The 26867-nt window shown below is 36.2% G+C and overlaps 1 pseudogene across 1 annotated transcript in view; it reads right to left on the bottom strand.

Moving 5' to 3' along the window:
- Positions 1–26867, bottom strand: part of PDCD6IPP2 (PDCD6IP pseudogene 2) — a 66741-nt pseudogene that overhangs the window by 26938 nt on the left and 12936 nt on the right. Inside the window, exons 5-10 of the transcript NR_037599.1 lie at positions 24732–24909; positions 22586–22697; positions 21220–21389; positions 14042–14290; positions 12750–12884; positions 10639–10733 (exon numbers count right to left, since the gene is read on the bottom strand). The product of NR_037599.1 is annotated as a PDCD6IP pseudogene 2 (transcript). The remainder of the gene's footprint in view (positions 1–10638; positions 10734–12749; positions 12885–14041; positions 14291–21219; positions 21390–22585; positions 22698–24731; positions 24910–26867) is intronic.

Here is a 26867-nt window from a genome sequence, read left to right as displayed (position 1 = left end):
AGAGATTAAGCATATATATATATACATAATTTTTTTTTTTTTTTGAGACGGAGTCTCGCTCTGTCGTCCCAGGCTAGAGTGCAATGGCATGATCTTGGCTCACTACAGCTTCCGCCTCCAGGATTCAAGCGATTCTCCTGCGTCAGCCTCCTGAGTAGCTGGGATTACAGGCACGTGCCACCATGCCTAGCTAATTTTTGTATTTTTAGTAGAGACGGGATTTCATCACGTTGGTCAGGCTGGTCTTGAACTCCTGACCTCGTGATCTGCCCGCCTCAGAATCCCAAAGTGCTGGAGTTACAGGCGTGAGCCACTGTGCCCGGCCACATTTATATATTTTTAATTGAAGCCACTAGACCTCAGCATGTGGTCTAAACAAAGGCTCTTCTCCTAGTTCAGTCCATTTTCCATATCAGGTTCTCCAAAGGATGAACCCAAGAGGTTCTTGTTAGCTGAAGACAAAGTGAAAGGCTGACGATGACATGCAAATTTAGTAGAGCAAAGAATACACATTTATAGTAGAATAATACAAGAATTTTTTCCTTTCTACCATACAAAAAAAATAATGCTTACAATGCAGGTACATTAATTTTATATTAAAAATATCCTTAGGTTGACCTCTGATGTTTTGCTTTTGCACCTGCCATAAGCCTTAAGGCATTTGGCATTCCCATTTTCACAAACCTAATTTAGTAGACTAAATAGCTATGCTAAGCATTTCACTTGCTTTCTATTATTCTTTGGCTGTAGACTATCACATAATGTGAGTGTTATTGATTTTATACATGTTAATTTCTCCTACCACGTACTATAGCAAGCTATACCTTTAGCATTTTTTTTTAGGTTTTTGGCTTATAGGAAGGTATCTCCTAAACCATAAAACTTATCCCATATTATTCTTTTTTTCATAATTTATTTATTGAGCTTTGCTGTATGTAGCTTTCTGAAGTAGATTTTATAGTTTAGAATTGTTGCTTTCCTTTTTTAATCTTTCACTCTTCATTTTTATTGAGTTATGAATTAACTATCTTTATTGTAGCGGTAAAACCATTTGTAATAGTCATAGTTTGATTGAGTGTACATAAATAAATAAAACCCCTGCGTTAAACTGGGAAGTGACATCAGCCTCTTTTTATTTTTTCATTTAAATTCTGAAAACACATGGAGATGAGTGTCCTTCGTTTCTACCTTAAATGGGTTGTTACAACTGAAGGTAATAGGGTCAGTCAGTTAGCACAAAACAAATGGGCAGCTACACACAAAGAACATTTTAAAGATAAAACATGGGTATTTAGAAGGTTGCTTCCATATGTGCTATGAGTTATGTATGAGTATCAAGGAGAGAAGACAGTAACAACTACCTGGTAATCATTTATGCTCTTATGGAGAACGAGCGGTGACTCCATAATGTCCCCAAAATGAGGCAACAGTCTGTCACTGTAGCAAATGATGAGAGGGCCCTTGAGCTAGCAGGCTGGGGCACATTCTACAACCCCTTTCCTTTGTCCTGTAGGAAATTCAACTTTCACATATGAGAAATACTAAAGGAATTTTCTCAGCATTCACATAAAAATACTCTTAAGAATAAAGATAAAAAAGGAATATATCAACTCTTGTAATAACTAGAAACATGTTGCTACAAAACAGATGAAAAAAGGAATGAACATTTATACATTCCAACATAAATTTTAAGGGTGTAATAAAACATAAAGAGACCATGAAGTGAAATGCAAGAGAATGGGGAAGAGATAGCCAGAAAGTGCAATAGCAACTGGCAGAATCCATGAAAGAAATAGGATTTAAAAACAAAATCATTGTAGAAAAAAAAAAAAAAACTAAATTGTAAAGAGAACAAGGGAGACTGAACCCCAAATAATGTAAGGGTCGTAAAGGGTGTGAGAGAAGAATATGTAGTAAGTCCTCTCCCCGTCCAAAAATCCAAAAACTGTAAAACATAGGATAGAATTAGAAAAAAGTTATTGCCTATATTAAGACAAGATAGATCATCATAAGCACATATATTTACATTACTGTGTAGTATATGCTTATGTATGTTATTAGAATGTTCAACACCAAGATATATCTGTGTATGGGACTAGGACTTTAAAGATTAAGAAAGCATTATGTGAGGGCTTAAGCAAAAATTGTCAACTTAGAGAAAAAGAAAATCATTTTGGCATCAGAGTTTTCCACAGCAAAAGTTAACACCAGAAAATGGGGGGAAATATTGAGAAAGAAGAGAAGGGAGAAGCAAATGGTTATCCTTATCCTTGCAAGATATCTATCAGCTATAAAGTGTACAGTTATAAGCACCCATAATTCAGGGAACACTTTACAGAAAGTTCTTATTAAGAGAGTTACCACAGGACAAAGTTCAATCAACCTAGTTCTGAGTAGGTAAAATACTACCAGTAAGGCAAGAGGTAAGCATTCAATGCGTCATATATAGATTTAAGGGATACATGGTGTAGAAGATGTAAAAAGATATTTTACTGATGATTCTGATAATGTACAAATGATTCAACTGTAACAACCAGGAGGAGAGAGTAAAAGAAAGGGGAAAGTAGGAATTAGCTCCCTGATTGCCTCGTCTATAATAGCTGAGAGTAATGGGTTCATTTTAAATCTCAAAATTTGCCCATAATAGTATGAAAACATTAAGTGGCACAAAGGCAAATATTAAGAAATATCCTGCCACAAAAATCAAATAGTTCAGGAGAAGTTGAGAAAGTGAAAATAGCACAGAGTCTAATTTAATTGCCACTCATTGTGGGGAACCATTAGGTATTATCTAAATAAATGGAGAAAAATATAAATGCAGGTAAAATTACAAAAATAACAACCAGAAAACTACATCTTTCTTATCAATAAAAATAAATTATCATTTAACAATATAAAATATTTAATAATAATAAATACTAAATTTTACAATACATATACAAGAAATACACCAAAAGCAAATATAGCCAAATTTTTTAAAAATAAAATGGTCAACAAATACCAAACAGACAAATGCTAACAAATGAATTATCAACCTATTTTTATTGTCTTCTCCTTGCTTATTTTTTTAAATTCCTTTTTAAAATTTTGTTTAGATATTTAAAATTACTTTTTATATTATTTTCTCTAATAATTCTAACCTTCTGGTTTTGTTTCTCGACATTTCTGCTGTTTCTATCACAATATCTATTTTCCTTGAGTGTTTTCTTGTTGGTGGTGGTTCTTTTCTGGTTTTTATTTGTTTTGTTTGTTTGTTTTGGTTTTGATTGAAAGAAATACAACAATGGAAGCTCACACTACTGCAGGGTGCTTCTCCAGATTTTGCCTATCACTCATAATTCTACTTTTATTTACTTTTCAGATTCCTCAGTTAGTTGCTTATTGTACTTTTCATAGTTTTAGTCGTAATCAACATTTAAGATAGGCTACAGGGAGCTTATCCTGCCACAAAATACGAGAAATCCATCTTTTTTTTTTGTTTCTTAAAAAAAGTCATTTTGAACTTGTAATTTGTAGGAAGGAACGCAGATTTAGAGGCATACATTTTCCATGACATGGAAAAATCATTTAACAATGTTAAGTCTCTATTTCAGCAAATACAGAAAAGATATGATTCACAGGACAAGAAAGCTGACAGTTAAGAACTTACATGCAAAGGCATTTCGACAAATAATATAATCCATCCTACTCCTAAGAGAGGAAAATTTGTATTAATGAAACTTCTACCAGGTATCACTTTCACCTCAGTTAATCCACAAACATTAAATCAGCAACATTTTGTGATAAACCATATCCAAAAGAGTTAATTGATGAAATGTCATTAATAGAACAGCAGTTATCCATGATTCAGTAAAAATTCATCAATCACCCATACAACAAACTTAATTCCATCTTATACTAAGCACATACACTACACTGAAAACTGTCAACTTCTGATGATCTAAAAATGTCTCTTCTATGACCATGTGATCACAATGAAATAAAGAATACAGAAAATTCATAGATGGTCAGTTAAAAAAAAGCTTCCGTGAAGCAATAAACTTTCCTTAAAAATGCCAAAATAGTAACATAGACTGCATGATATAACACTCATTTTACTGACATAATCTGTTGAGGCATTTTGTTAATCAAATACTTTCTTTTATATATACTTATAAATGTCATACCAGAATTACACATTTTCTAATGAAATACAAAAGCATAAAAGAATCGTATTCATAAGTTGATTTTAATCATTGTCTCGGTTCAATATTACAAACAAGTGTAATTATGGTACAAGTACAAAACAAATGGTGATTAAAGCATGTCAGAAAACAGATGTTCCTGCATACAGATGGACAATCCAATTAATACTTCTCAAATAGAAAACAGCTATTTACTCCTTACTAATGAATGATATAATTATTTATTATTAATGCAGCTTGGTTTTTTAATGTCTCCATGAAGAGCTTAAATATAATTTTCCTAAAGATGCATTTGGGCCGGGCGCCGAGGCTCAGGCCTGTAATCCCAGCACTTTGGAAGGCCAAGGCAGGCGGATCACGAGGTCAGGAGATCGAGACCATCCTGGCTAACGTGGTGAAAACCCATCTCTACTAAAAGTACAAAAAAATTAGCTAGGCGTGGTGGCGGGCGCTTGTAGTCCCAGCTATTCGGGAGGCTGAGGCAGGAGAATGGCGGGAACCTGGGAGGTGGAGCTTGCAGTGAGCTGAGATTGCGCCACTGCACTTCAGCCTGGGCGACAGAAAGAGACTCCATCTCAAAAAAATAAAAATACATACATACATACATACATACATACATACATAAATAAGAAAAAAGATGTATTTGGATGGTTAATGTATTTTTAATGTATAATCATCTATTGTAGTTAAAAGATGATCAAATGTGCTGATTCACTCAGTGTCTATGTTTCAAATGCAGGACTTAAGGAACAATTTGCCATAAGCCACCAACTTATTGTTTTCTTTTAAATTATATATCTAACATGCATACATACACACACAATATATATATATATATACACAAAACATTAATAATGATGAAAATTTTGAGAATCATGAAGAATGGTATATATGTAATACATATGTTTTTTTCACAAGTTTTCCAACTACTCTACTTTTTTTTTTAGTAGAATACATTAGATACTACAAAAGAAATGAAAACAAAATGATGTGGAATAGCATGTAAACAATAGAAAGAAGTTTTTGAAGATTGTTACAACACAGCTTCCCTAGCTAATAATACCTGAGAAAACCTGCACATGTAGCATATATGTGTCGCTACCTTTTAGCATATATAATGGATTTATTAATATTTCTTCATTGCATTGATGAGATGAATAAATACAATAGTATGTATAAATACCTAGACCTTTGCTGGGTATATAGGAAATATTGTGTTAAAATAGAACTCTTCTATCTTTCTACAGAAATACACTATGCAGTGATTACTTCTGGCTGTGATACATAAAAACAGGCAAATCCCAATAGAGAAAAAATATGTATTCATGATACATGATTTGGATTTTTCCAAAGAACAAAAACTATGAATTGGGTTGCAAGGATTTCCTGTTAAGACAACAGTAGGAATAAAGACATGGAGTAGAAGATACACACATTGAGTAGGTTTAACAGGCCTAAGCAAAAGATGCACATAATGAAACATCAGGAGAACAGACTAGAAATTCCTCTAAGCCTGTTGTGAGAGCCAAAGAAAATACATCTGGATTTGACTGTTGATAATGAGGAATTTCTGAAAGGTTGACCTATCACAGTTCTGAAAAAATGCTTCTAAACAAACCAGATTCCTTTGTCAAATAGATAAGGGAAATTATGGATATGTAATGCCACTTTAGAAATTTCAAATGCACATTAACAAAGCAACAGCAAAAAGCAAACCCCATTTAACTTTGTTTAACCTAGATTTTATGAACTTATTTACTAAGCAAACTCTCCCATCTGTATTTCCCTACTTGTAATTCTTATTAAGAATCACTGTTTTGGTGTCATTGGAATTTACTTAAGAGAAATGCGGTCTAACCTCTGCTTTAAGAAGACAACTCTGGCAGAACTATCAATTGGAAAAAAGGAGAGTTTAGATGCTAGGAGGCCATTATAATAGCTCACTTGGGAGCTAATCTGTGCATGACTCTGATGGGAGAAAATAAAATTGAGAAAAAGGCATGCATTGGAGGCAACAATCCTTGGAATGTGATTGACCGTAGAGAATAATGAATGTGGAAGACCCAGAACAGGCTTTAAACAAACTTTCAGATTCTTGCCAATCTGAAAAATATTACTTCAGACTAATTTTGATTTGTATTTTATAATGAATGAGGGTATTCATTTTTTTTCATTTATTTAAGAGCTATTTGTATTTCCTTGTCTGCAAAATTCTATTTGCGTCTTTTCCTCAGTTGTCTATTGGGTTTTCTTCTTGTTCATTTCTAGGAGTTCTTTTCTAAATAAAGTAAATTAGCCTTTTGCCTGTGAATAAGTTTCAAATATTGGATCCCCAATTTGTCATATCCTGACTCTGTTTATCATATTTCTATGAGAAACTTATTCTTTTCTTTTTTTTAATGGCTTCTGGATTTTAAGTAGGAGTTATTAGATCCTGCCCATCCCAGCTTTATTAAGGAATTCTCCTCCATTCTATTTTATACTTTATATTTCATTTACAAATTTCAAGTTTGGTCCACTCAGAACTTACTCTGGTATAAAGATAACTTTTATTTTCTAAATGGCTGGGCAGTTGACTACAACCTCTTCTGGTTGGTTGAAGATCTTTTACACTAAATTCACACATGTATTTGAATCTATTTCTATTTTCTATTCTGTCTTTGTCTAATCATGTACCAGTACCACTGTGTTTTAATTAAAGATGGTATTATATACCTTATTATCTGGTAGAACTAGTATCCCTTCACTACTCTTTTTATTGTTTTCCTGGCTGACCTTGTTTCTTTTTCTACTTGAACTTTAGGATCAACTTGTCTAATTCCAAATGAAAAGCTGATTTTTTTTTAATCAAAAGCATGTTGAATGCATATGTTTATTTCTTTTTATTTATTTATTTTTTTTGAGACGGAGTCTCACTGTGTCGCCCAGGCCGGAGTACAGTGGCACGATCTCGGCTCACTGCAAGCTCTGCCTCCCGGGTTCACACCATTCTCCTGTCTCAGCCTCCCGAGTAGCTGGAACTACAGGCGCCCACCACCACGCCCGGCTAATTTTTTTTATTTTTAGTAGAGACGGGGTTTCACCGTGTTAGCCAGGATGGTCTCGATCTCCTGACCTCGTGATCCGCCTGCCTCGGCCTCCCAAAGTGCTGGGATTACAGGCGTGAGCCACTGCGCCCGGCCGTATATGTTTATTTCTTTATTTATGTTTGTTATTAGAGATAGGGTCTCACTGCTGCCCAGACTGGAGTACCGTGGCTATTTATAGGTACAATCATAGCGCACTACAACCTAGAATTCCAGGGCTCAAACCATCCTCCCACTTCAATCTCCCAAGTAGATGGGACTAGAAGTGCATGCCATCACGCCCAGTTGATACATAAGTTAACTGAGAGTTGACATCTTGATGAAGTTGAGTCATCCTATCCAAGAACATGCTTTTTAACTTGCTCAAGCCTTCTTTTGTGTCCTTGAAATAGTTTTTTCTTCACACAGGTCTCATATATGACAAACTTATATTTTATATTTTATCCTTTTTGTTGCTACCGTAAGTGGGTCTCTTCATCTTATCCTCTATAGGTTTATTTACATGAAAGCCACTGATTTCTACAAATTATTTTTATGATCAACAACTTCAGTAATAATTATTTTATTATTTGCAGAGTTTTGGGGTTCTCTTGGGTTTTCAAGTAGTTGTACAATCATAATGTCTGTAAATAGTGCTAGTTTTACTTCTTCCTTTCCAATTTTTAAATTTCTCTCTCACGTGATTGTCTTGGCTGGTACTGCAGTATAGTATTTAAAAATAGTGCTGACAGTGACATTTGTTGTCTGTTCTTGACTTCAGAGGGAACTGTTTATAGTGCTTCTCCATTAATCACTGTACTGAGTTTTGGGCAGAAATATATACACACACATACATATATATTTTTTCATGTTACGGAAGCATCTATCTTCTATCTATTCTTATTTTACTGAGTATCAGAACACTCATTTTCTTAAATGCTTCTGCCTCATCTATTAAGACAAGCCTGTAATCTTTCCTTTGACATGAAAACACTGAATACTGAATACTGGAATAAATGCCCCCCTCCCCTTGGTCAATAATTATTTTTTAACGTCCTGGTGACTATTACTGGCAAATACTTTATTTAGGACTTTTGCATCCATATTCATAACTGAAACTGGTCTGTAGACTGTTTTGTATTAATCTTTGTTAGGTTTTTTTTATCTTTAAGACTAATATGGAGAATACTCATCTTTTTTTAGGCTGGGGGGGTGGCTCACACCTGTAATTCCAATCACCTGAGGTCAGGAGTTCGAGACCAGCCTGGCCAACATGGCAAAACCCTGTCTCTACTAAAAATACAAAAATTAGCCAGGCGTGGTGGTGCACACCTGTAATGCCAGCTACTTGGGAAGCTGAGGCAGAAGAATTGCTTGAACCCGGGAGGCGGAGGTTGCAGTGAGCGAAGATTGCATCATTGCACTCCAGCCTGGGCGACAGAGCAAAACTCTATCTAAAAAAAAGTCACCTTTTTTAAAACATTTAGAACCATTTTTAAAACATTCTAATTATTTGCTTTTTATAGGTTTAGTAGAAATATTCTAAAAACAACTCACCTGCTCTTTCTTAGAGGTAGAAGAAAATAACTTCTCTCATGAACATGAGCAGAGAGGTGAATGAACATGAACATGAACAGAGAGATGAATAAAGATCTAGTTGGCTGAAAGGGTCATCGGTATAAGACTCTTTCAGCTCTTTATATTTATTACTAATGAATATATGGCTTTTTATGCACCCGAAGGACAGTTTGGATATAAAATCTTTAGCATGTATTTACTATATGATATAAAATCTTTAGCTCATATTTACTATCCTTGAGATTACAGCAATCACTCCACTCTCTTCTGGCATACAGAGCTGCCAGCCTAATTTTTTTCACCTTTTTATATACTGGTTTGATTGTTTTGCCTGACTGCCTAAAGGATTCTGCCATTACCTTTTAAGGCCAATAATTTATATGCCTTGATGCTGACAGTTCTTGATCAATTTCCCCTACCATGTGATATCCTCTTTCAACAACCTTCACTTGTTTTAAGAAAATGTTCTTGAGTATCATGAAATAAGTGCTCTGTTTACAGAAAGTTAAATAACTGTTCTGTCTGGTTTTTCTTCTTTGAGAGAAATTCAGTTTTGCCCATATTAGATCTTCTGTGCCCATCTTCTCTCTAATCCTTTCTCATTCTTTCTTGACTTTGGTTTCATTTTAATTTCCTCATTTCTACTCTGTGTTCCTGTGTGTTCTTCAGTGTTTACTCGCCCTTTGTGCTCTTTCCCATGTCGTGGTTTGATTCTTCCCTTCTACTTCTTTCCTGAATTCTGACACCTCACATCTTACCACTTCCTGTTTTCTTACCATATTCCTGCAGTTCTGGAATTTCTGCTCCAAGTGTTCCTTAGAGGAGCAGTCCCCAAACCTTTATGGCATCAGGGACCGGTCTCATGCAAGACAATTTTTCCACAGGGGAGCGGAAGATGATTTCAGGATGAAACTGTTCCACCTCAGATCATCAGGCATTAGTCAGAGTCTCCTAAGCAACGCACAACCTAGATCCCTTACACGGGCAGTTCACAATAGGGTTTGCGCTCCTATGAGAATCTAATGCTGAGGCTGACCTGACAGGAGGTGGGGCTCAGGCAGTAATACTCGCCCAGCCGCCGGCCTGTCTGCCACCCACCTCCTGCTGTGCAGCCCAGTTCCTAACAGGCCACGAACCAGTACCAGTCCATGGCCCCAGGACTGGGGACCCCGGCCTTAGAATGACTGCCTTCTTACATTTGTTGTTGTTGTTCTTTTTGTTTAGTTCATGGTCAGACGTTTGCTCATAATTTTCACCTATTCTGTGACAATATTATTTTGGTAAATATTCTTCATCTATGAAGTTTTATTAAATTTTGTTAATGTTTTTCACCTTTTATCAGCGCTGTGCTACTCCGTGTTGATTACTCAGCAGGAAATGAGTCGTATGTTAACTGGCCCTGCTTTCTCAGCAGCCTCCTCTGAAAGTGATTTTGCTGGTATTCTCTGAGCTATTCACGGCGTCTCCTCCATGTTCTATAGCTCTAGTTTTATGTAAGGAACCTATTTGCCACTTCAAAATAAATTGCTTGTATTTACTGGCACTTCCTGAGATCTGCCACCTGAACTGTTTTATCATTTCTGTGACCTCACTGTACTTCCTGCATCTAGAGTTTCTGCTTCTTTTCATCCTTTCATTCCCAGACTGTGCAGCTGTTTACTTGTTGCTTTGTAAAATACTCTATCTAGTTCCTTCTTCCATGAGAAAAGGAGGGAAACTGCTCTCATACTACCAAGTTCACACCAAAAGTCTCCACATGATTTTTTAAAAGAAAATTCTTAAGTACAATTTGATACACAAAACAGACTTACTTTAAGAGTTCATCTCTTTCTGTCTTCCATGCCAAAACTATATCGCTGCATTTGTTCTGGAACCTGACCAGGATTTCAGTCAACTCATTGTAAAACTATAAGCAAAGAACAAATACAAGTAATGAACAAGAACAATTTTTTAATCCAGAGAGTAATGTGATCTAAAGCTAATTTGTCAATGACAGTTAAAGCCGAAGAACTGAGATCTGCATGAGATACATCCATACAATTTACTAGGCCCAACAACTTAATATTAAATATGATCTAAGACTCCTAAAGAAAATAAAAATAATAAAATCATTTTTATAGAACATTATCATCAAAAATGTAACAAGTTAAAAGTTTCATGATCATGAAAATCTTCCTAATTCCTAGAGAAAAGTCAATTGTTTAATAACATGAAACCTATTTAAGTGGAAGGATTAGGTTTTCAAATTCACTACAGAAATGCAAGCATACTCCCCATCAAAAAGTGGGCAAAGGATATGAACAGACACTTCTCAAAAGAAGACATTTATGCAGCCAAAAACACATGAAAAAATGCTCATCATCACTGGCCATCAAAGAAATGCAAATCAAAACCACAGTGAGATACCATCTCACACCAGTTAGAACGGCGATCATTAAAAAGTCAGGAAACAACAAGTGCTGGAGAGGATGTGGAGAAATAGGAACACTTTTACACTGTTGGTGGGACTGTAAACTAGTTCAACCATTGTGGAAGTCGGTGTGGTGATTCCTCAGGGATCTAGAACTAGAAATACCATTTGACCCAGCCATCCCATTACTGGGTATATACCCAAAGGATTATAAATCATGCTGCTATAAAGACACATGCACTCATATGTTTACTGCGGCACTATTCACAATAGCAAAGACTTGGAACCAACCCAAATGTCCAACAATGATAGACTGGATTAAGAAAATGTGGCACATATACACCATGGAATACTATGCAGCCATAAAAAATGATGAGTTCATGTCCTTTGTAGGGACATGGATGAAGCTGGAAACCATCATTCTCAGCAAACTATTGCAAGGACAAAAAACCAAACACTGCACGTTCTCACTCATAGGTGGGAATTGAACAATGAGAATACATGGACACAGGAAAGGGAACATCACACACCGGGGACTGTTGTGGGATGGGGGGAGGGGGGAGGGATAGCATTAGGAGATATACCTAATGCTAAATGACGAGTTAATGGGTGCAGCACACCAACATGGCACATGTATACATATGTAACAAACCTGCACGTTGTGCACATGTACCCTAAAACTTAAAGTATAAAAAAAAAAAAAAAAAGAAATGCAAGCATACTTCAGAAACCCTTAAAAGAATTTCTAAAGGCTCTCTGGAGGGTTTTCTCAGCTTACCTATTTAAACAAAGCATTTTAAACCAAGTTAAAATGGCATTTTACCATCCTCTCTATTTGGAAGGCTTTGCAGTATTTTCACCCTCTCTTCAGAGGGTTTTACATTTTAGCTACTGTATTTATATCAAGGTAACTTTATTCAGTGATTATTATGAAGTTAAGTACCAAAAGGAATTATGCATCTGAGAAAACTTAAAAATCACTGTTCCCTCAAAAACAAATTGGTAAAAACAAATATAAGTGAATTCCCTAAACTTTTTAAAGGACAAGGCAAGAAAGTACTTACATATTCAGCAAGCCTTCTGACACTTGGGCAGGCCACAAGTCTGTCCTCAGCAAACCACCACACAGAATATAAAAGTCATGCCCGCCCAGCTTTTCCATCACAAATCAGCTTTGACTACTCCTGTCCCCTCAAAATTCATCAAATTAATCAACTTCCTATCCCTTAAAAAGGTGTCATTGACATCTCTGCTAATTCCTGCTACCTGGAATATTTGTACCCCTTTTCTGCCAGTTGAAATATGCAATTCATTCTTCAAGGTTCCCATGAAATGTTGCCACCTTCATTAAGCTTTCTCCCTCCTGTAACAAACTTCGCAGAGGCAATGGCATTAAAGCTAACATTCCAGGCAAAGAGTAATTTGGTTCAACTGGAAATACCATTTAACTTCCAACCTATACGTTCACATCTGTACTTGCTAGCTATGGTTCCTTTTGCATGTACTTCATACCTTTGTGCCTTCCTTCGAATTAGCTACAAGTTCAACAAAGTTGTCACATGCAGTAGCTAAATTCTTCAAAACTTCTTCTCTTAAGTTAGCTTCATTATTAGATTGCTTCATTTTCGAAAATTCCTGATGTGAGACCTTGTTAAAAGAAAGATTTATGTATTTACATTTACTTATAAAATATGGCTCATAACATTTTTATTGATCTTTTCCAATTATGAAAATCATATGTAATTAAATACATATGCAAAATTACTAGAAATACCTAGTATACTCTTTTGAAGCCTCATTATGCTTTAAATCTTTCTTAAGTAAAAATTTCAAAAATCCAATAGAAGTCAAAACAACCAATAATGATCACAGATTTCTATTAGTATATAACACTTGCAAAAAATATAACATGAAAATTATTTTACCTTTTGGAATATTTTATATCATATATAGATACAATGTTTAGGAGTAGAAATATATGTTTAATTTTGCACATTAACTATGAAAAGGGCAAACTTTCAAGTCTTTGTTAGTCCAAACTACCTATCTGTAAACACGAAAACTAACTTCAAACTTCTCAACATATTTAGTTTGCATTATTTTTTTAAAAAATGACTGAAGTCTGTATGTATGTTAGCCGTATAATTAAAGGTATCAGTAATTCCAACTAATTTCGATTTTCCTCCCGTATGGAAAAAAAAAACAAAGCTATTAAAAACTTGAAACCATGAAAAATATCAGAAGTATCAAGCACTCCTAAGTAATATGCAACATTTTAGCCATAGAAATGACTTTGTTTCTGCCGGGCGTGGTGGCTCACGTCTGTAATCCCAGCACTTTGGGAGGCCAAGGAGGGAGGATCAGGAGGTCAGGAGATGGAGACCATCCTGGCTAACACGGTGAAATCCCGTCTCTACTAAAAATACAAAAAATTAGCAGGGCGTGGTGGCGGGCGCCTGTAGTCCCAGCTACTCGGGCGGCTGAGGCGGGAGAATGGTGTGAACCCGGGAGGCGGAGCTTGCAGTGAGCCAAGATCGCACCACTGCACTCCAGCCTGGGCGACAGAACGAGACTCCATCTCAAAAAAAAAAAAAAAAAAAAAAAAACAAGGAGTGACTTGGTTTCATAGACACAAATAAAACTGATATGCCAAGTTTAATTTTACAAAATATATATGTATTAAGTTCTACTCTCAACTACAGATATTCTCCAATGTCATTTTTCTAATTGAATATAGGTTTAGTCCAGACATATCTTTTCTGTAATTTTTAAAACATAGATGTTATTAAATACATAAATTTCACCTGAATATTTTTAAGAAGTCCCTCCTGTTTCTTTAGAGATTCTTGGACTTTAGTTGTAAGACCTCCATAGACTCGATCTAGTTCAGTAACAGAAAGAGCTTCTTCATTTATCATGCCATCTTGAGCCAGGGCTGTCAAAAACTTGCTTGTCATGTCAAAATTCACAGATTTCAAGTCATTCTCCAGACCCTCTCTTTCCTTCTTTACTTCATCAAGATTTGACAATAAGGATTTTAAGACATTTACAACCTAAACAATAAAAAAGACACTTTAGTTTAACTGAAAAAAAAAGCCAATTTCAAGAAGGAAATAATATATAAAGGTTCATTTGGGCTGAGAGAGAGATGAGTTCTCAGAGAGCCAAATATAAATTGAACATCAGGTTTATGTAGATAGACACTGTACCTTCAGTTGACTCATATTAAAACAAAAGCAGCATTAATAACAGTAGCCAACAGCTACAATTTACTGAACTCCTATGTGTTAGGCACCATGCTAAACACTTCAGAAATATAATTTTATGTATTCCTTACAATACCCCATGGGGTATATATATTTATGACCTCTCTTCCAAAGATAGGGATAACGAGTCTCAAAAAAATTAAGTGACATGGTTATACAGTTACTAAGGGGCAGAGGTGAAATTTGAGACCTAAGTCTGACTAGTTCCAAAACCAATCTCTTAGCCACTCTACACTCTACTCCCTCCCAATCATGGCTGTGAAGCAGGGGAAGGTATGATTTTGCTACGTAAGTAGATATCCTATTTTGCCTAGAGAGACTGACAGACAGAGATATAGAGAAATAGAGGTGAAGATAGAAATAGAGATAGTTATGAAGCAAGCATGGTAGATGGAGAAAGAAATAGAGAAAGACACAGATATAAAGGTATATACCACATTTATTTTATACACCGGGAGAGGAAAAGGAAAGAGGGTTCTTGTGCCTCTCTTCATAGCATTAAGAGTTTTAGGCCAGATGTAGAGGTTCATACCTGCAATCCCAGCACTTTAGGAGGATCACCTGAGCCTAGGAGTTCGAGACCAGCCTAGGCAACAAAGTGAGACCCCCATTTCTACATTAAAAAAAAATTAGTTGGGTGCAATGGTGTGTACCTGCAGTCACAGCTACTCCAGAGGCTGAGGCAGGAGGATTGCTTCAGCCCAGGGGGTCAAGGCTGCAGTGAGCCATGATCATGCCACTGCACTCCAGCCTGGGTGACAGAGAGAAACCCTGTCTCAAAACAAAATACAAAAACAAAACAGAGATTTATCTCTTGTATTCAGTCAAGACACTCTCTGACTTATACCCACCTGATTCATAAATACCCCTTTATATTCATAGTGTTCAAGTGCCTTCTAATGAGCACTTTCAAGCTGCCCCTTTCACTCATCTCTTCATACTTTGCTAGGACCACCAAGAACATCAACCCAATCTCCCTATTCTGCTTGCCCCAATGATGCTCATAGAAAGAAAACAGGGGGAAAGACAAAGGGAAGAAGAGGACATCATGAGCCCTGTCTCCACCCCTGTCTTTCTCATTACCAGCAGCAAGTCCAGTTCCCATGATCCCCCTACCAACTGCCTGTTTCTAAAAATTCCTACCCTACTCTTTCTTCCACAGTCTTAGTTAACTCCTTGATAGGAACGTCCAAAGTAACATCCCTTTGTGAAGACCAGAGACTCGAGGTTTCTGCTAAATGTAGGCGAATTTCCTTTTTGGCCTCATTTACATCTATATCTTCTAAACATCCTAATTTTAAAATGGAAGGAAAGGAAAGGAAGAGAAGGGGGAGGGGGACAAGAGAGGAAGGAAGGGGGAAGGGAAGGAGAGAGGGAGGGAGAGAAAGAAGAGGGTACAGGGGAGAAGGCTGTGGAAAGGGAAAGAAATATGATTCCTAGAGTCTAGAAAGCATCAAACCACAGAAACTCTAAAAGGAAGGAGGAGGAGAAAGAATCATACGTGGGTGGATATGACAAAGTCTGTTTAAAGACCTAGTAGAACTTGATATCAGACGATGTGAATAAAAGTTTCCTTCCAAGTGACTTCCAGGACATATTATTAAATGAGAAAAAAAGGGTACAAAAGCATATATAGTGTGCTGCATTTTGAGTAAGACAGAAGGAAAATCAGAAAATAAATATACACATACATAATATGTACATATGTATACATATGTATGCATAATTTTGGGGGAGGTTGGGTTTTTTGTTTGTTGTTGTTCTTCCAAAAAGAAAATCAGTAAGGACAAACCAGAAACTAACGGATATGATTACTTACAGGAAGTATACAGGAAAGAAGTAGAAGGAAAAGGAATGAGGCTTACTCTGCATGTACCTTTTGAATCATGAACATTTTTTACACACTCAGAAAACAAGATTAAGTCAAAACTTGAATATGGAAACAAATGAACTAATGGTCTATCAAAGTGAAACGTAATTACACAAAAAAAACGTAATTACATAGAAAATTAAAAACACTTCAACTCTGACTATACTCCCTTAGAGACCATAATGGGCTTAGTGACTGTGCAATCAAGGACAGGTTACTACTTAGAAAACTCAATTTTCGCAGCTGCAAAATGGGCATAATAGTACCTATTTCAGGACTGTTGTGAAGACTGAGATAATCTATATAAAGTGCTCAACATAACTTCTAACAAAGGGTAAGTATTCAGTCATATTACCTAGATTAGGAAGAAAAGCTTACCGCAACTTCCATGGTATCCAACCAGACTGATACAGAAGCTTTCTAACCAGACTGATACAGAGGGCCAAATAGTTAACAAATCCTGTGATATTCAAAAATGCAATAATTCTAACTTTCTGGGGAAAAAAATGCCATTTCAAACAACGAATTTATGAACAAACTTGTGGACTACCACACAAAGATAGAGATCCCTTATATTACGAACATCTTTTAAAAAAATTCATATGCAGTGCACTAGTTTAACATATTTCAGATTATATGACACTCGCCTCATTTTAACAGAGTAAATGAAGTAGAAAATGAATTAAACTGCTTCCACAAATGAATGACCACGATAATAAGAAAACCACTGCCTAAATTTTCTTCTAAATTCAAATTTGAGGTTTAACATGTTATCAAAGTATATAAATAATTAGAATCCTAGCATATTTATTTCTTATACACAGCTCCAGCTACCTTTCAACTGCAATTAAATGTATCCCTTTATTAAGTTAAGGCTGCCAGCGATGACCATTCAAACAAATGCTTTTTGTTTTGGGACCATTCTAGATGCCATGGACACGACTACTAACAAAAACAGTCTTTTCCTTCATTTGGGGACCAGAGAGGATTAAATAAATATGGAAAGGGGAGGATTAAACAAATACACAAAAATAGAATAATGTGGGTAGACAATGACAAAGATGGAGAAGAGGTGACATCTGAGACTAATGAAAAAGAGGTAATAGCCATGGAAATGGGAAGAAAGCCCTGCACAGAAGGAAACGCAAATATAACAGTCCTGTGGCAGGCACAAGCTTGGCAGGATCAAAGGAAAGAAAAAAAGGCCACTCTGGCTGAAGCATAGTAAACAAAAGGCAGAACAGGAGATGAGGTCAAACAGAATGGCAGGAACGGCATCACCTAGGCTGTCAATACTTTGTCTTTCAGATCAGGAACTTACAAACTTTTTTGGTAAAGGACCAAACAGAAAATATTTTTGCCTCAGTAGGCCACAGTCTCTGTTCCAACTCTTTAACTCTGCTTTGTAGTATGAAAGACAATGTGTAAATGAATGAGCGCAGCTATGTTTCAACAAAAATGTATTAACACTGAAATCTGAATTTTATATAATGCCCACATATTAAAACATTCGTTTGACTTTTTTTTAGCCATTTAAAAAATGAAGTAGAAAGTAGAGTTTTATATTTAAAAAATGTAAAACTCATTTTTAGCTCCCAGGCCATACAAAGAGAAGAGGCAGAGGATTCGGCCCACAAGCCACAGGTTCCTGACCCGAGTTTTAGATTTAAAACCCTCTGTGGCATTTAACAGCACCAAGTACAATATAAGCCGTAAGAAATGCCCTCAATGGGCCGGGCGCGGTGGCTCATGCCTGTAATCCCAGCACTTTGGGAGGCCAAGGCAAGTGGATCACGAGGTCAAGAGATCGAGACCACCCTGGCCAACATGGTGAAACCCTGTCTCTACTAAATATACGAAAATTAGCTGGGCATAGTAGCGCATGCCTACAGTCCCAGCTACTCGGGAGGCTGAGGCAGGAGAATTGCTTGAACCCAGGAGGCAGAGGTTGCAGTGAGCCAAGATTGCACCACTGCACTCCAGCCTGGGTGACAGAGCAAGACTCCGTCCCCCCACGGCCAAAAAAAAAAAGAAAGAAAGAAATGCCCTCAATGAAATCTTCTATTTTACTTTTATAACCTTGTCATTTTATTTTCAGAAAAGGCAAATAAGCAACTATGTCTACACCAACGAAAGCAGAAACTTGATACATTTACCCTACACTAAAGGTAACCTAGAGGAGTTTTTTGTCTCTCTATGTTAGGGACCAAGGTACTCAGCACAGTTCTGGAATAGCAGGCCTTCAAAAAACACTTGGTGAGTAAATAAATAAACAGATTCCAGCCATTCTCAACATGTCTATAAACTTTCTGTCATGAGAAATCAGGAGTAAAAGCTGTGTTTGCAGATCCTCCACTAGTCTGTGAATCCAAAAAAGGCACTCCTCTGGGAGGGCACACAGTTTTAAACAGTTCTCTTTATGCTCTACCTCTAAGGAGATAAAGGGTTTTTTTTTTTTTTTAAAGGTACCCCCTCCGTTACTTCCAGCAGATGTAACACTTTGAGTAAAATTGAACATCATCCTTGTGCAAAAAAATAGATGTTCCTTCCCCTGGCTAGACTCAGCCCCATATACATTAGGGCCAAGGCTTGGCCAGCCAACCACAGACCAGACTTCAGGCCACAGTAGATCATAGGCAACCAATCACAAGCAGTGATCCTAGGTATTTAATACAAAAATCTTGAAATACAAATGACCACTAGTCTGCAAAATTTTTCAGAGTATCTCAATATCTAAAACCAGATGCCCAAAGAGACTGAAAATAAGTAACTAGAAAGTAGGCTACTTCACAATAAAAGAAAAAACAGCCCTACCATCAAACTTGGACTTTTTAATAAAACATATACATTGCATCACTCTAATCAGCAATCAAAAAACTGAGTTTTTATCATAAAAATTCTGGCTAAAATGCGTCATCAACTATTATGACAACCATCTGAAATAGCTCTGATAAACCTGATGCTTGCCTTATTTGATTAAGGCACACGACAAACGAATATATAGAGAGTACTGAAATTTTGTGGTTACCCCATCAAGAACTCTAGCTTCCAAAAAATTACTTCATATTGACTATAAAAGTTCCTTTCTCCTGTGTAACACAAGTAAGGATTAATAAAACTGATACAACTGAATAAAATATCAACAAATCAGTGCATACTAATGCAGATTTTGCTTAGCACAAACCATTTTTACTTTTCTACTGAAAGCAGAAGAATCAAAGGGCAAAAGCCACATAATTCTGAGTCACGTACAAGACACCAAAAAGAATACAAAGAGAGTACTAAACAGAGATCTTTTTCTAAAATAAAAAAGGTACCAGAATGTATTGCTCTTCCAAGGGTCTACAGTTTCTTCTTCGGGTTCTTTGTTGCTCACAAGTTAATCTTCTGACCACCTCCCTTTTCTCCGCTATGTCCTCAAAGCAACAACTCACATTCCCTGTTCCACTGGGTTCCCCCGTTAGATTCAGGTTCAATGCACATTCAACTACGTAGCCTTCTCTTCCCTTTGAGAGGTGCCCGGTACCTGTGCATTTACCCTACACTAAAGGTAACCCAGAGCAGTTTTTTGTCTCTTTATGTTAGGGACCAAGGTGCTCAGCACTGCTCTGGAATAGCAGGCCTTCAAACACTTGGTGAATAAATAAATAAACAAGCAGATTCCAGCCATTCTCAACATGTCTGTAAACCTTCTGTCATGAGAAATCAGGAGTAAAAGCTGTGTTTGCAGATCCTCTGTGCCTCGGATAACTCTCTAGACACAGCCACTACTCAGCCCTTCTCCGATCCTACACGTTTACTTTTTCTGCCTATCCACTCTGTCCTCATAATGTGCCAATCTCTTAAGAAGCCTCTGAAGAGAACTACTCCAAATTACTGAAATTTAAGTACTTCATCTAAATCCTCATAACATACTTCTATACTTTCCCTGTGACATTTTTAAACTTCTTCCCTATATTACAGTCATCCTTGTACATGACTAATATTCCACAATGGATCATAAATTGAGGGTAAAGCCTGTGTATAATTTGTATGTTAATTTTCCAATGTACCTACCATAGTGCCTTACACAGAGCAGATATCCAGTAGGTCTTGGAATACATATATGAAACATATAAAATGCATCTGTGGAAAGACAAATAAGAAACAAAACTCATACTTTTCAGAACTTACTATCCCAGGAAATTCACTTTTTTCAAGAAGTTTTCAGCAGTATTTCTTGCCCTTTGGCTTGTTTTCCTGTGCAGAGATTTGGGACCTCTATCTTTTCCTACTAACTTACCCTACCTCCCCATGATAGGCCATTAAATTATAGTTGCACTTTCTCTTAGGACTTTCCAAATCAGATGCCCTACTATTCAATTTTCTCTTTCCTGTCATCAGTAGAAACACCATGACGGAGCTATCCATTTATTAACACGCACACCTTGCCAATCTTCCTTTCAAAGGTAGTCCCGGGGAAACAAGGTGGAAGGGAGTAGAGAACAATGGAAGAAATAAAGAATTTGTGTATCTGGCCATACCCAGTCCTTTCATTTCAGGAAATTTCTATACTTCCAAGCTTCTCTCTTTTATAAAACCCAAATTAAATACTGTTGACCTATGAAGTATCTAAAATTTAGTTCAAAAAAGGGCATTCAATAAATGGAAGTGACTATTACAGGATAGTTAATATTAGTATAATTTCCTATTACACAGTCTATATACTACTTTAAATATAACAACCCCAATTTATTTCTGCATTTTTTTAAAGATGACAATAAGGAATTGGCAGTGCATTATATAAAATGGCTTGAATGTGGTTTTCTTAAGCAGATGACAACCCACATCAAAGTGCCCTTCTCACCTCACTGCCCTGCATGGTCTTTGCTGGATTAGCAGAAGGGATGGCAGCATTCAGCTCAGGCTCTGGCTTACACAAAAGCACGATGGGGTCACGATGAGACGGGTAACATTCTTTCACGTGTCCATCTGCTTGCACAGCTTTATCTAAAACTGTTCTGAAGCTGGTTCCCTCTGGGAGAAAATAGGTTTGCAGAGCACAGAAGTGATTCTAACAGCAACGTGTATGGCCTGGTTATATGTTGAGTTCTAGTCTCCAACTTTACTTATCTTCCCCTTCTCTAGACCCCAATTCACTTAATCATAAAAACAGCTCCTAACAGTCTTTGCGTTCTCGTTTTTGGAAAGATGACAAAATCACTTATAAAATCAAAAGCATAGCTATACCTTAAAATACATTTGGTGGTTACTATCTGCCAAATAAAAGCTAATTAATATTAATCTTTTCCTACAACTCATGAATGTAGGAAGAAATCATTCTCTCCAAAAATTGGTCCATTTATTTTAAAAGTATTCCTCTCTCAAAAGAGCAATGTGACTTAAAAAAAAAAAGATTTTTAGAAAAATCTCAATAATATACAAACTTTTTACAAAGATAAATAAAACTAATCTCCAGCCACCATGAAGACAGCATTTATCTCAGCAAGCACAAAATCTTCATAATCAAAGTCTTAAGAAGCATAAATTTGGCCTCAAAATAACTTAAAGCTCATTTTCGTTTTACCACCCAGGATTCACTACTAAATGAAAAAAAAATTACAAAGCCATAAATATAATATGCTCTCATTTATGTTTTTAAAATATGCGCAGGGGCCAGGCATGGTGATTCAAGCCTGTAATCTCATCACTTTGGGAAGTGGAGGCAGGTGGATCACTTGAGCCCAGGAGTTCAAGACGAGCCAGGGCAACACGGTAAAACCTCGTCTCTGCAAAAAATACAAAAATTAGCCAGGCGTGGTAGCACATGTCTACGGTGTCAGCTACTCAGGAGGCTGAGGTAGAAGCATTGACTGAGCCCTGGAGGTTGGGGCTGCAGCGAGCTGTGATCCTGCCACTGCACTCCAGCCTAAGTGACAGAGCGAGACCTTGTCTCAAAAAAAAAATAAATAAAATAAAATATGCACAGAGCTTGGAACAGAAAATGAAAGTTGGAGGACCATTTTAACTTTTCCCTTTATACTGTTCTTAAGAATCTGTACTTCTGACAATTGGCAGATTACTTTTGTGAACTTTTTTAATCTTTATACTAAAACTGAGGAAAAACAATTTCGGTAAAAACGAATTTACAACTGAGCCTAATTTAATCAAGTAAAAATGTGGGTCCAAATTGGGAATTTATTCAAATGAAGGTCATTTATACACATTTTTACCTGCTTTTAAAGGCTTATACAGTTCATTGGATGATGTCCTTTGCCAGCGTTCCTTAAATTTTGCTCATAAATCATTATCGGTTGCTTCTTCTTCATCCAAAAACCTTAATGACTTTAAAAGGAAGCAAAAAGAACCCTGAAATGTCATTTCTGGATTAAAAAATTTAATGCAATTATTAAATGTTCATACACAATATAAGGGAGAATTTGGTGAGATGGGAATACTAGGTTAGAATATAAATCGACTTTTTTCTTGCAGACATCTAAGTTATAATGCATTTAACAAAAAGTCTTATAAATTTAAGGCTGAATTAGCTATCACCTTTCTCAGTAAAAAAAAAAAGGAAGAATACATGAGACTATTTACATCCATGTATCAATTTAAAGAAAGTTTTAAGATTAAAATAGATAAATAGAAGCCATAAACAAAGGGGAAAAACTGATCAATTACATTAAAAAATAAAAGATTTAGAATTTCATTCCAATACAACGAACAGAAAATTATGTTTAATATATTTTTAAATGCCTTTTAATGTGTAGATAAGATGACAGGATAGTAGGGGGCCAGAAACACAAGAAAATACTAATCTACCAGTAGACACAGTGCTAGCACCAACAATACATGACAATCCCTGATAGCTTAGGACAAAGAATAGCAAACTTCTGTCAAACACCACAGAGTAAATATTTTAGGCTTTGTGGGCCACAGTCTATGGCACATAGAATTCTTCTTTTTTGACAATGCTCTAAAAAAGATAAAAATTATCCTTAACTAGTGAACCACACAAAAGTAGGCCACAAGCCAGCACTAGCCCACCATCCATAGTTCACCAGCTGTGTAGTTCACCATTGACTTGCATTGTGAATTTAGAACATGAAAAGTCAACAAGAAACATAGGTAGGGACAATAAAAGGTGAGAGGTCAGATCAAAAGCACTCTCCACACTCAAACTGGTATACTTCCAAATAGATGATTCTCAGTGGATGAATTTTTAAAACAGAAAACGGCCCTACAGAAGAAAACATGCCTGTCTGGACCTTGGCTCTAAAGAAAAAAGAAAAAAAAAAAGAAGTATTATCTGAGATTCCTGATCAAAAGCCTGAATTTGGGACTAGAAACCACACTATTTGTGTGACACAAAGTCCTAAGATAAATTACTACTATAATTAAAAGATTATAAAAGAAAGGAAAAAGCCTCTTAAGTTTGAGGAGGTGCCAGGTATATAATGCCTTTTTATGGCAGAAGCAAACACAAATTCTTTCTAGAATTCACCTTAAACCCAGATCTCAATGAATTCCCACAAATAAATTACAGGAAATATGAATGCACAATCAAAACTCACTGAACACTAAATGCAATTCAGTATTCTGTACTGGATCTTGGAACAGAAGGAGGAACGTTGGTGGAATAACTGGTAAAATCTGAGTAATAATACTGTACCAATGTCAATTTCCTAGTTTTAACAATGTGCCACGACCGCGTAAGATTTTAACTTTCAGGGAAGCTAGGTGAAAAATATACAGGAACTTTCCACACTAAATTTGCAAAGTCTCTGTAAATCTGAAACTATTTTTTAAAGTTTTAAAAAACAGTAACAAAAAAACTGAACACAAGAGAAAACAAGCCACCATAAGCAAGAATCAGCAAAAATTACAAATCATAGAATCAAACCCACAGAAACCACAGACATTGGAATTATAAGATAAATAATATAAAATAAATATACTTAATATATTTCAAGAAATTAGGGATAAATTAAAGGGTTTAACCTTCCAGGTTAAGACAAATTAAATTAAAAAGAAAAATCTTGCTACACGCTATGTATAAAATAAATCAATAATTACAAAGACTGAACGGTTCATATGATAGTTGATTTCTCATAGTATACTAGTTTTACACAGTGGTCATTTGAGTTTCATTAATGTGTACTTACTTACCCTTAAGATAAGAATGAAACCCATTCTCACTCAACCAGAATTACTCTTATGCTAAAGAGGCGGCTCTGGGCCACAGTAAATTCACCAAAGTGATGAATACTAACTACACTGTGAGCACTAGCATGAGGAAGTCTCCAGTCCCAATCCCTGCTGGACATCAAGGGATCACAGTGTTTATACTTGAAAAGCAAATCTTATAAAACATACCTCATCTAGGATTTCTCTATTTCATTGCAGTAATTCAGGCAGTTCTTTAGTCAACTGATCAACAGTCTGGATGCCTCCCTGTTCAATCACAGATCTTGATTTAGTCAATATAGACTGAGGTACAGTGTCTCCAGACACATCTTCAATTGCTGCTGGAAGATTAAGGGAAGCTAGCACTCTGAAAAAATGAGATACTATGTTATATTGAAGTCTAAAACAATTTAACTCATCAATATTTACTTTATTTAATTTAATCTTCTATAACCAAATCAACAGCAATGGAGTTAGCACCCAGAAAAACTGGATAAGCCCTATCAATGAAAAACAAAGCAAAGATTAACAGAAAAACAAAAAAATCAGTGATTGATACAATTAAACCAAAATCATTAAAAAATTAAGTTCACAATTCAGAATTAAAAGCCAAAAAATAGGCTGGTGCAGTGGCTCACACCTGTAATCCCAGCACTTGGGAGGCCAAGGCAGGCGGATCACCTGAGGTCAGGAATTCAAGGCCAGCCTGGCCAACACGGTGAAACCCCATCTCTACTAAAAATACAAAAATTAGTCAGGCGTAGTGGTGAGCACCTATAATCCCAGCTACTTGGGAGGCTGAGGCACAAGAATCACCTGAAGCCAGGAGACGAAGGTTGCAGTGAGCTGAGATCTCACCACTGCACTCCAGCCTGGGCGACAGAGTAAGACTCAGTCTGGAAAAACAAAAAAAAAAAAGCCGAAAAATTATGACCGCATTAAAATATATTAGGTATCGTTGGCTTACAGTTCAAACTTGTTTCAGTCTAAGTAATTAAAAGTCAAAAATTCTATCCTAAAAAAGCAGTCTTTTATACTTTTGATTGTTACAGCATCTCTAACGAGTCAGAAACAATACACAAAATAGGTATTTTTTTCTTTTTTGCTCTCTTTCAACAGAATCAATAATTATAATTTCACATCATCTAGGCAAAATGTCAACAGAAGATAGATGATCTAAGTCTTCATTACAGAATCTTCATCTGCTCTCGGTTTTGTAGCACACTAACGATTCCTCAGTTATTTCATTTACATGATGGGGAAGGGAGGTACATATCCCTACCTACTATGTAAAGAAAAAAGGCAAATGAAATGATGGAATACAATGAACTCCTCAGAAAAGAAGCTCTGTAAAATCTCAGACTGCCTGTTTATCATATGCTAGAGTAAACTTACATTCCTTTCTTGTTCAAGAAAAATGATGGTAAAATCCATGCATTAATCAAAACTAAAAACATGAAAAGGCAAGCCAACCACGAGAGAAATACAGCTGGCCCCTGAACAACACAGATTTGAACTACGTGAGTCCATGTATATGTGGACTTTCACCTCTTTCACCTTTGCCACCTCTAAGACAGCAAGACCAACCCTCCTTCCTCCTCTTCTTCAGCCTACTCAAACATGAAATAGACAAGGACGAAGACCTTTATGATGATCCACTTCCATTTAATCATAGTAAATATATTTTCTCTTCCTTATGATTTTCTTAATAGCATTTTTTCTCTAGCTTATTTATTATAAGAATATACTATACAATACATATACAAAATATGTGTTAATTGACTGTTTATGTTATCAGTAAGGCTTCTGGTCAACAGCAGGCTATTAGTAGTTAAGTTTTGGGGACTCAGAAGTTATATGCAGATTTGGCTGTGCAGGGGGGTCAGCACCCATAACCCCTATGTTGTTCAGGGTCAACTATATTCTCAATCGTATGTATCTGACAAAGGACTTGCCTCCAAAATAGGTAAAGAACTCTTTAAATATTAAGAAAACTCAGTTTTAAAAACTGAGAAAAAGATTTCAATAGACACTTTACAGAAAAGATATGAATGGCTAGTAAGCACATGAAAAGCTGTTCAGTATCATTAGTAATTAGGAGAATGCAAATTAAATCACAGTGAGATTCTGCTACACACACACGAAAGCAGCTAAAACTAAAAAGACTGACGGTACCAAGTATTGGTGAGGATGCAGAACAACTGTATTTCTCAAACAGTGCAGATAGGATATAAAATGGAACAACCACTTTGGAAAACAACCTGGCAATTTCATGTAAAATTAAATATGCTAACCACACAACCTAACAATTCCACTCCTAAGTAT

The sequence above is a fragment of the Homo sapiens genome, chromosome 15, assembly GCF_000001405.40.
Source record: "Homo sapiens chromosome 15, GRCh38.p14 Primary Assembly".
Taxonomy (NCBI): Eukaryota; Metazoa; Chordata; class Mammalia; order Primates; family Hominidae; genus Homo; species Homo sapiens.
The sequence above is the reverse complement of the archived record's forward strand: the minus strand, read 5'-3'. Positions and strand labels throughout refer to the sequence as shown.